Below are 12200 nucleotides of genomic sequence, written 5' to 3'. Positions count from 1 at the left end.
ATTTCATACCCCAATGGCACCTGGAATGCTAGCGAGACAGAACCGTTCATGCCCTGGAAAGGGAGCTGAAGCCAGGAAGCCAAGTGATCTATCTCAGCAGATCCCACCCCCACGGAGCCAGGCAAGCTAAAATCCACTGGCCTGAAATTCTCGCTGCCAGCACAGCAGTCTGAAGTCAACCTGAGATCCTTAAGCTTGGTGGGGGGAGGGGCATCCGCCATTACTGAGGCTTCAGTAGGCAGTTTTCCCCCCACAGTGTGAACAAAACTACCAGGAAGTTCGAATAGGGTGGAACCCACCACAGCTCAGCAAAGCCACTGTAGCCAGACTGCCTCTCTAGATTCCTCCTCTCTGGGCAGGGCATGTCTGAAAAAAAGGCAGCAGCCCCAGTCAGGGGCTTATAGATAAAACTCCCATCTCCCTGGGACAGAGCACCTGGGGCAAGGGGAGGCTGTGGGTACAGTTTCAGGAGACTCAAACATTCCTGCCTGCCAGCTCTGAAGAGAACAGTGGATCTCCCAGCACAGCACTTGAGTTCTGCTAAGGGACAGACTGCCTCCTCAAGTGGGTCCCTGATCCCTGTGTCTCCTGACTGGGAGATACCTCCCAGCAGGGATTGACAGACACCTCATACAGAAGAGCTCTGACTGGGATCTGGAGGATGCCCCTCCAGGACGAAGCATCCAGAGGAAGGAACAGGGAGCAATCTCTGCTGTTCTGCAGCCTCCGTTGGTGATACCCAGGAAAACAGGGTCTGGAGTGGACCTCCAGCAAACTCCAACAGACCTGCAGCAGAGAGGCCTGACTGGTAGAAGGAAAACTAACAAACTGAAAGGAATAGCATCAACATCAACAAAAAGGACATCCACACAGAAACCCCATCCAAAGATCATCAGCATCAAAGACCAAAGGCAGATAAATCCATGAAGATGAGGAAAAACCAGCACGGAAAGTTTGAAAATTCCAAAAGCCAGAATGCCTCTTCTCCTCCAAAGGATCACAACTCCTCGCCAGCAAAGGAACAAAACTGGACACAGAATTAGTTTGACAAATTGACAGAAGTAGGCTTCAGAAGGTGGGTAATAACAAACTCCTCTGAGCTAAAGGAGCATGTTCTAACCCAATAAAGGGAGCTAAGAACCTCGAAAAAAGGTTAGAGGAATTGCTAACTACAATGACCAGTTTAGAGAAGAACATAAATGACCTGATGGAGCTGAAAAACACAGCACGAGAACTTCATGAAGCATACACAAGTATCAATAGCCGAATCAATCAAGTGGAAGAAATGATATCAGAGATTGAAGATCAACTTAATGAAATAAAGCCTGAAGACAAGATTAGAGAAAAAAGAATGAAAAGGAATGAACAAAGCTTCCAAGAAATATAAGATTATGTGAAAAGACCAAACCTATGTTTCATTGGTGTACCTGAAAGTGATGGGGGGAATGGAACCAACTTGGAAAACCCTCTTCAGGATATTATCCAGGAGAACTTCCCCAATCTAGCAAGACAGACCAACATTCAAATTCATGAAATACAGAGAACACCACAAAGATACTCCTCGAGAATAGCAACCTCAAGACACATAATCATCAGATTCACCAAGGTTGAAATGAAGGAAAAAATGTTAAGGGCAGCCAGAGACAAACATCAGGTTACCCACAAAGGGAAGCCAATCAGACTAACAGCGGATCTCTCGGCAGAAACCCTACAAGCCAGAAGAGAGTGGGGGCCAATATTCAACATTCTTAAAGAAAAGAATTTTCAACCCAGAATTTCATATCCAGCCAAACTAAGCTTCATAAGTGAAGGAGAAATAAAATCCTTTACAGACAAGCAAATGCTGAGAGATTTTGTCATCACCAGGCCTGCCTTACAAGAGCTCCTGAAGGAAGCACTAAACATGGAAAGGAAAAACCAGTACCAGCCACTGCAATAACATGCCAAATTGTAAAGACCATCAACACTATGAAGCAACTGCATCAACTAAAGGGAAAAATAACCAGCTAGCATCATAATGACAGGATCAAATTCACACATAATGATACTAATCTTAAATGTTAATGGGATAAATTCCCCAATTAAAAGACACAGACTGGGAAATTGCAGAGTCAAGACCCATTGGTGTGCTGTATTCAGGAGACCCATCTCATGTGGAAAGACACACATAGGCTCAAAATAAAGGGATGGAGAAATATTTAGCAAGCAAATGGAAAGTAAAAAAAAAAAAAGCAGGGTTTGCAATCCGAGTCTCTGATAAAACAGACTAAAACCAACAAAGAGCAAAAGATACAAAGAAGGGCATTATATAATGGTAAAGGTATCAACGCAACAAGAAGAATGAACTATCCTAAATATATATGCACCCAATATAGGAGCACCCAGATTCATAAAGCAAGTTCTTAGAGACCTACAAAGAGACTTAGATTCCCACACAATAATAGTGGGAGACTTTAGCACCCCACTGTCAATATTAGCAAGATCAATGAGACAGAAAATTAACAAGGATATACAGGACTTGAACTCAGCTCTGGACCAAGCAGACCTAATAGAAATCTACAGAACTCTCCACCCCAAATCAACAGAATATACATTCTTCTCAGCACTACCTCGCACTTATTCTAAAATTGACCACATAATTGGAAGTAAAACACTCTTCAGCAAATGCAAAAGAATGGAAATGATAACAAACAGTCTCTCAGACCACAGTGCAATCAAATTAGAACTCAGGATTAAGAAACTCACTCAAAACCACACAACTCCATGGATACTGAAAAACCTGCTCCTGGTTGACTACTGAGTAAATAACTAAATGAAGGCAGAAATAAATAAGTTCTTTGAAACCAACGAGAACAAAGACACAACATACCAGAATCTCTGGGACACAGCTAAAGTGGTGTTTAGAGGGAAATTTATGGCACTAAATGCCCACAGAATAAAGCAGGAAAGATCTAAAATTGACACCCTAACATCACAATTAAAAGAACTAGAGAAGCAAGAGCAAACAAATTCAAAAGCTAGCAGAAGACAAGAAATAACTAAGATCAGAGCAGAACTGAAGGAGATAGAGAAACGAAAAACCCATCAAAAAATCAATGAATGCAGGAGCTGGTTTCTTCAAAAGATCAACAAGATAGACTGCTAGCCAGACTAATAAACAAGAAAAGAGAGAAGAATAAAATAGATACAATAAAAAATGATAAAGAGGATATCACCACTGATCCCACAGAAATACAAACTGCCATCAGAGAATACTTATAAACACTTCTAAGCAAATAAACCAGAAAACCAAGAAGAAATGGAAAAATTCCAGAAGAAATAGATAAATACACCCTCCCAAGACTAAATCAAGAAAAAGCTGAATCCCTGAATAAACCAATAAGAAGTTCTGAAATCGAGGCAGTAATTAATAGCCTACCAACAACAACAACAAAAAAAAACCAGGACCAGATGGATTCACAGCCGAATTCTACAAGAGGTACAAAGAGGAGCTGGTACCATTCCTTCTGAAACTACTCCAAACAATAGAAAAAGAGGGACTCCTCCCTAATTCATTTTATGAGGCCAGCATCATCCTGATACCAAAACCTGGCAGAGACACAAGAAAAAAAGAAAATTTCAGGCCAATATCCCTGATGAACATCGATGCAAAAATCCTCAATAAAATACTAGCAAATCGAATCCAGAAGCACATCAAAAAGCTTATCCACCATGATCAAGTCAGCTTCATCCCTGGGATGCAAGGCTCGTCCAACAGATGCAAATCAATAAATGTTATCCATCACATAAACAGAACCAACAACAAAATCCACATGATTATCTCAATAGATGCAGAAAAGGCCTTCGATAAAATTCAACAGCCCTTCATGCTAAAAACTCTCAATAAACTAGGTATTGATGGAAAGTATCTCAAAATAATAAAAGCTATTTATGACAAACCCACAGCCAATATCATACTGAATGGGCAAAAATGGGATGCATTCCCTTTGAAAACTGGCACAAGACAATGATGCCCTCTCTTACCACTCCTATTCAACATAGTATTGGAAGTTTTGGCCAGGGCAATCAGGCAAGATAAAGAAATAAAGGATATTCAAAGAGGAAGAGAGGAAGTCAAATTGTCTCTGTTTGCAGATGACATGATTGTATATTTAGAAGACCCCATTGTCTCAGCCCAAAATCTCCTTAAGCTGATAGGCACCTTCAGCAAAGTCTCAGGATACAAAATCAATGTGCAAAAAGCATTCCTACACACCAACAACAGAAAAACAGAACCAAATCATGTGTGAACTCCCATTCACAATTGCTACAAAGAGAATAAAACACCTAGGAATACAACTTACAAGGGATGTGAAGGATCTCTTCAAGGAAAACTACAAACTATTGCTCAAGGAAACCAGAGAGGAAACAAAAAAATGGAAAAACATTCCATGCTCATGGAAAGGAAGAATCGATATCATGAAAATGGCCATACTGCCCAGAGTAATTTATAGATTCAATGCTATCCCCATCAAGCTACCATTGACTTTCTTCACAGAATGAGAAAAATCTACTTGAAATTTCATATGGAACCAAAAAAGAGCCTGTGTAGCCAAGACAATCCTAAGCAAAAAGAACAAAGCTGGAGGCATCAAGCTACCTGACTTCAAACTATACTACAAGGCTACAGTAACCAAAACAGCATGGTACTGGTACCAAAACAGATATATAGACCAATGGAACAGAACAGAAGCCTCATAAATGATGCCACACATCTACAAGCATCAGATCTTTGACAAACCTGACAAAAACAAGCACTGGGGAAAGGATTCCCTATTTAATAAATGGTGTTGGGAAAACTGGCTACCCATATGCAGAAAACTGAAACTAGACTCCTTCCTTACACGTTATACAAAAATTAACTCAAGATGGATTAAAGACTTAAATGTAAGACGTAAAACCATAAAAACCCTAGAAGAAAACCTAGGCAATACCACTCAAGACATAGGCATGGGCAAAGACTTCACGGCTAAAACACCAAAAGCAATGGCAACAGAAGCCAAAATAGACAAATGGGATCTAATTAAACTAAAGAACTTCTTCACAACAAAAGAAACTATCATCAGAGTAAACAGGCAACATACAGGATGGGAGAAAAAATTTGCAATCTATCCATCTGACAAAGGGCTAATATCCAGAATCTATAAAGAACTTAAACAAATTTACAAGAAAAAATCAAACAACCCCACCAAAAAGTGGGTGAAGGATATGAACAGACACTTCTTAAAAGAAGACATTTATACAGCCAAAAAACATATGAAAAAAAGCTCATCATCAATGGTCATTAGAGAAATGCAAATCAAAACCACAATGAGATACTATCTCACACCAGTTAGAATGGCGGTCATTAAAAAGTCAGGAAACAACAGATGCTGGAGAGGATGTGGAGAAATTGGAACACTTTTACACTGTTAGTGGGAGTGTAAATTAGTTCAACCATTGTGGAAGACAATCCCATCAAAAAGTGGACTAATGACATGAATAGACAATTCTCAAAAGAAAATATACAAATAGGCAACAAACATATGAAAAATGCTCAACATTACTAATTATCAGGGAAATGCAAATTAAAGCCACAATGTGATACCACCTCACTCCTGCAAAACGGCCATAATCAAAAAAATCGAAAAACAATAGATGTCGGAGTGGATGTGGTGAAATGGGAACACTTTTACACTGTTGGTGAAAATGTAAACTAGTACAACCACTATGGAAAACAGTGTGGAAATTCCTTAAAGAACTAAAAGTAGATCTACCATTTGATCCAGCAATCCCACTCCTGGGTATCTACCCAGAGGAATGGAAGTCATTATATGAAAAAGATACCTACACACACATGTATATAGCAGCACAATTAGCAATTGCAAAAATATGGAACCAGCCGAAATGCCAATCAATCAATGAGTGAATAAAGAAAATGTGGTAGGCTGGGCGCGGTGGCTCACGCCTGTAATCCCAGCACTTTGGGAGGCCGAGGTGGGTGGATCACGAGGTCAGGAGTTCAAGACCAGCCTGGCCAAGATGGTGAAACCCCATCTCTACTAAAAATACAAAAAATTAGCTGGGCACTATGGCAGGCGCCTGTAGTCCCAGCTACTCAGGAGGCTGAAGAAGGAGAATCATTTGAACCTGGAGGGTGGAGGTTGCAGTGAGCCGAGTTCGTGCCACTGTACTCCAGCCTGGGTGACAGAGTGAAACTCCATCTCAAAAAAAAAAAAAGAAAATGTGGTAGATATAGATATAGATATAGATATAGATATATAGGGATGTGTGTGTGTGTGTGTGTGTGTGTGTGTGTGTGTGTCATGGAATACTATTCAGCCATGAAAAGGAATGAAATAATGGCATTCGCAGAGAACTGAATGGAACTGGAGACCATTATTCTAAGTGAAGTAACTCAGGAATGTAAAACCAAACATTGTATGTTCTCACTTAGAAGTGGGAGCTAAGCTATGAGGATGCAATGGCATAAGAATAATACAATGGACTTTGGGGACTCAGGGGAAAGAGTGGGAAGGGTGAGGGATAAAAGACTACACAATGGATACAGTGTACACTGCTCAGGTGATGGGTACACCAAAATCTCAGAAATCACCACTAAAGAACTTACTCATGTAACCAAACACCACCTGTTCTCCAAAAACCTATTGAAATAAAACAATAAAAATAAAATAAAATAAAAAAGAATAATAAGGCAAGAATAAGATAAGCGTGCCCCCAAAGTCCTTTAGTCATCCATTTGTGACAACATCACACAGAGGCAGCATTTCAGCGTGGCTAGGAAAAAAGCCACTCTGGATGCAATTGCCCTCTACAACTAATAAAACGTGATTATAGATGTGCTATTAGGCATGTCACTGTACATTTAGAAAGCTGCTATCCCTACTTCTGCCTCTTCCCAGAGTTCTGCAATCACAAATTCCACTCTGAACCAGCAGAGAGGTAAAATGGAAAATAAGGAGTGAGGTTGGAGGAAAACAGTCCCAGGCATGATGATCTATCTATGTTGGCAAGAAGGAGAGACACGGTGATGAAATCAGTATTAGCAGGAGAAAAGGGTGAGTCCTAGTGGTCATCTCACACTAAACAAGGGCTGCCTTCCCACATGGTCACTCACACATTGCAGTCATTCCCTAGCCCATGTTGATTACATACATACATATGCACACCTATGATATACTACATATATATGCACACCTATGATATACATACATACATAGAAGGCAAATTAGAATTGCTCTGCAGAAATTCCAACACATGGGTATCTGTCTCTCAAGTCTGGGCTCGAAGAATGGTCCCTGGGAACCTCCCACCTGCTGTCACCCCTTCACCATGTGGCTCCTGGCTTCCAAGTCACAACATGGAAGTTCAACCCTTATCAATGGCTGAAAGGCATTGGTGCTGGGACTAGCTGCCCATCCTAATGCGCAAAAGAGCCAAGCATTTTTCTTTCCCATTAAGCTGCTAGAATCCTTAAAGAGGCTCACCCCTACATCCTTCCTTGTGTATCTAGAAACATCTGAATTGGCTGAAGGTATTCCTCTTAGGCCCATGAGAATCTCTAGGCCCCTCACTGAGCCCCTCTCCAAAATGCAAGGAACAGACATATGGCAGGCATGGAATGCCCATATTTCAGCTCCCATGGTGAAGACGGACCTTGCTTATGCCCTCTGGCACTCTCCTTCTTTTCCCTTTCCTCCACACACTCTCTTTCATTATCAAATGACTGAACATAGTAAGGGAAAGAAGAAGAGGTCTTTAGCATCTCCAAAAAACAGTGAAAAGGAACATATTAATTCCATGCATGCCTTCCTCCCAACTCAAGTGCCTTGCCTCACTCATCCTATAGTAACTCTTCAGACAGATTCCAGTGGAAACTAAACATATTGCACTGATCAATTGATGCACACAACAGGTAATTTCTTTACAATTTCTTTGTAATTGTTGTCAGATGTATTCAAGAAGGTAATTTTAACTATTTCAAATTATTGCCTCATTGGCTCTAAATATAGGCAATCGTTTCTTAAAAACAGCCTTAAAAACACATAATCTATTTTTAGGATGTCTAATATGACAAAATAAATAAATAAAAACAGAAACTATGATAGTGAAAACTGCCATTGTATTTGAAAACCATTTGAAAGCGGATTATGAGTTTTCTACTAGGCATATGAGTAATTTGAGTTTCTGGATAATTTCATTATTAACAATAACATTTTCTGAGCATCTCTTTGTAAAGTACTATGCTCTCTGCTCTCTATTTCATATCTACCTCAGTAATAGGACTATTGCAGCTCAATCCTAATACAATTCTAACATTCACAGATATAGTGTTTGATCTCTAACATCTCTTAGCTCCTAAAAGCCAGTGCTTAAAACAGTTATATTAATCATTAGATCCGTACTCATATAGCTTAGATGAAGAAAGGCATGGCATTCAACATCCCTTCAGAGCTGCATAGGCTGTCTTGAAAGGGCATGTTATGATTATCACTTTGCCAATGGTGCATGCATCAGGGTTGACCTAAACCTCAGCTCTACCAAAACCAGCTGCCTGAGCATCCAGTCCCAAGAATGTAACTGCTTGCCTGGTGTGTTCCAAAGCCATTCCCCTCCCTCAGGACACTTAAGGGCAAAAAGTTGAGAGATTAAAAGATTTGAGAGTCCAGAGAGAATTCAGACATCCTGACTTCTGGCAACTCCCCTTCCCCTGTTTTCCTACAGTCCAGATGGCGCTTAATCAGTGATGAGTGCTAGAAAATCACTTAGCATTATTGAAACTTCTCTACCACATTGTTTTCTCAGAGCAACATATACATTATCTCTGTAGCATGTATTTGCATTAGGAATTTTCTGGATACAATTACCCTTTGCAACTAATAAAATAAGATGTAATTATAGATGGACTGTTAGCAGTGCCACTTTACATTTAGGTTGATATGTTTGTGGCTGTCTGGAATTCCAGCTCTGAGTGCTGTTGATTGCTTTCACCCACACATGTTATTTCTGGAGATGGTGCTGCTCAGGGTGAGAGCTATCTGGGGCAGCACAATCACCCTCCTTTGGGGGCCTCCCTATCTCCTCGGGCTTGCACTTTTGACCTTCTTCTGAATAGCCTACAATGCATAATTCAACCCAAAGAGGGGCCTCAGTTGCTGCCTTGAATCCAAGATCTAGTGGTCTGACTTTAAAGTCAGTTTAGTGTCAGCTGATTTAAATGAAGAACAGAGATTTATGTACAGAGACCTTAATTTAAAATTTCAGAAAAAACCCACCAGACTTGGACAAAGAGCTCTACATAACTTCTCTGCATTTTCTACAGTGAGCATGTATTACTTAAAAAAAAAAAAAAACAGAAAAATCATTTAATACATGTTATATAAAGTCAGAAGGGAAACAGGACTTTTCTTTTCAGATCGTGAAGACTTACCATGGAGACCATGGATTCAGGGAGATTTTAAGGGAATTCACTTCTAAAAACTCAACTCCCTAAACTAGGTCTTACTGAAAACTGTGCCTGAAGACATGTCCACTTACTGTTATACCTCAATATAAAAAAGTAAGAATAAATTGATGTAGAGTGTTCAGAAAATAATAAATAAAAGCTTCACTTTGGGTTTCTCTTGACTCTAACATCTTAAAAGCAGCAGGAGGTATCCTCAGCAACCATTATATGCATGTCTGCGGAGGAGGTGTCCAAGTCTTAAGAATATTCAAAGATGACTATATGAAATCCTCTAGCAATGAGAAAAATATCACTTTAGACACAAGCCAAGCAATGTGATCTGACAGCTGTCCATCAAATGAACGAGGGAGACCTAAGAGCTCAGTGCACACAGGTGAGGAGGAGGCCAGAAAATCTGCCTTGAAGCACGATCCTCTCAATGGCTAATGCCTGGAAATAACTGAGACATCTGAGGGAATCTAACCAGGGGAGGGAAAGATTTCACAGAGCAGCAGGTAGGGGGACTGCCCAGTCTGAAGACTCGGGGACAGATCAGCTGGCCAGGCAGTTAGCACAGTGTCCAGCAAGAACTGTGTGAAAGAATCACTTTAATAAAGAAGCCAGAAGATGTGGGGCTGTGAGCCATGTGGCCGTGAAGTGCCTGGGGGCCAGGTTGTTGGAGGTGTGGAGTCCAGAGACTGAGTCCTGCAGCAGGGAAGCTCTGGAAAAGTTGCAAATAGGGACATGGCATTGGAGAACAGTTTAATGTTTAGGAATATCAGCCTTGACCCCAGAGAGCCCGTGACAAAGATTCCAGCTCTGCTACTCTGCTCCCCTTGCCATGAGACCTAAGGCAAGTCCAGCTCAGGGGCCTCAGTTTCCTCCCCTCTAAACTGGGGTTCTAATAGTAGTTATCTCACCGAGTGTCATGAAAATTAAACAAAATAATTCAAGTAAAGCACTTATTACAGTGCATGGCACAGTATAAGAAGCCAGCTGTCAAAATTATAATTATTTGTTCCCCATTTTTTAAAGCAGAGGAAAATGTCAAATAGAAGCAAATGGTTTGTCTCAATCCCAGTTCAGGGGCAGAATTATAAAATGAAGATAGCTGAGGCTCAGAGGATTGGCTGAGCAGGGGTAGTAGCAAAACATAATGTCAAGTGTTTTCTATGCTTTTCTTTCCCAGCATGCCACATGAGTCAGTCAGCACTCTGCACCCTCACAGATGAGAACAAGTCTAAGAAGGGAGGTCATAGACAAAGGAGACTCTGAGGACTCTACGTGGCTATCAACACCCAGAAGTAGATAAGACAGCTCATGTTGTGTTCAATGTGAATACCTATCATGGCCAATTATGAATGCATTCAGTTATCTTTTCACGCATTTATTCATTCAGTAAGCATGTACTCAGCATCTACCACATGGAAAACACTACCCCACATGTGTGAGGTACCCAGGATACAAAGATTTTTAGAAGTACATGCATATAACTCCTGCTCTCAAGGAGAATAGGGGGTGAGTCTGTCTAACAGGGGGTGAGTCAAGATAGGCATTAACAAATTGACCCTGAGATCTCAGAATTTTAATATACCAAGGATATGTTTCTCACGCATGCTTGCACAGTGGGAGAGGGCTAAGGTGAGGGGAGGGAGGATCTGCTCCACACGGTGACTCAGGGACCAACACTGACAGATGCTTCACATATCAACACTTTCCAAATCACTACAGCAGTGGAAGAAGGAGCTGGAGGGCTTCACATGGATCCTTAAATGCTTGAGTCTGAAAATGACAAGCATTGCTTCTGCTCTGCCCATTGGCCAGTTATCTCATAGCCCTGCCTAGCTACAAAAGGCTAGGAAATGTGAGGGAACATGGAGATTCTCTGAACCATAATCATCTCTGACATAAATGGGAAAGCAGAAAAGCAACAGCAGTTAAATAAAACTTAAACATTGTCTGCTGCCTCAGGCGGCACAAGGAATAGGCAATGCCCTGAAGAACTACAGAAAAAAAGGAATAGAGGTCGTAGAAAAGAGTAGAAGCCTCCTCAGGCCAACAGAGATCAGAACCAGTCTCGTTTCCCTTGAGCAAAACATCATAAAAGATGCTCTACTCAGTCAACCTTAGATCAACACTGAGCAGGCAAGTGTTCTCTTTACCACCAAATTGAAATCCTTACTCCAGAACATCGTGGCACTTCTCATCCAAGACCTTCACGTTACCTCTTCCTGCTTATTGTGTAAAATTATGTACATTCTCCAAAAGCCCTAGGAAACTAATCCCATTTCTAAGTCAAATAATGCTCTTAACTTGCTATGTGAACAATCCCCAAGCTTTAGAGACAGTTAATACCCACCCTGCCCTGCCTACCTCTCAGAAGAAAGTATGGCTAAAGTGAGTCCACTAATGTAGAAAATATAAAATCTTATGAAAACATGTACTACAGTTGTTGATGACAAAATGTTTTGGTTTGTTTACATAAGCTGCAAGTAAGAAAATAATGAAATCTTACTCAGCCAGGAAATGTTATTTCCACAGAGACACATCCATCTTGTCTGGGGGTGGGGGGTTTAAAATATGCATGACATAAAATTTATCATTTTAACCATTTCTGCGTGTGCAGTTCAGTGTCTTTAAGTTCCTACATTCACATTGTTGTGCAACTACCACCCCTGTCCATCTCCAGAACTTTTCATCATCCCAAACTGAAGTT

General features: G+C 40.8%; 1 long non-coding RNA gene across 1 annotated transcript in view; it reads right to left on the bottom strand.

Annotated features, from left to right (window-relative positions):
• LOC101927947 (uncharacterized) overlaps positions 1–12200 on the bottom strand; it is a 469997-nt gene that overhangs the window by 439036 nt on the left and 18761 nt on the right. The gene's annotated exons all lie outside the window — the stretch shown is intronic.

Source organism: Homo sapiens, chromosome 4 (assembly GCF_000001405.40).
Source record: "Homo sapiens chromosome 4, GRCh38.p14 Primary Assembly".
Lineage (NCBI taxonomy): Eukaryota > Metazoa > Chordata > Mammalia > Primates > Hominidae > Homo > Homo sapiens.
The sequence above is the reverse complement of the archived record's forward strand: the minus strand, read 5'-3'. Positions and strand labels throughout refer to the sequence as shown.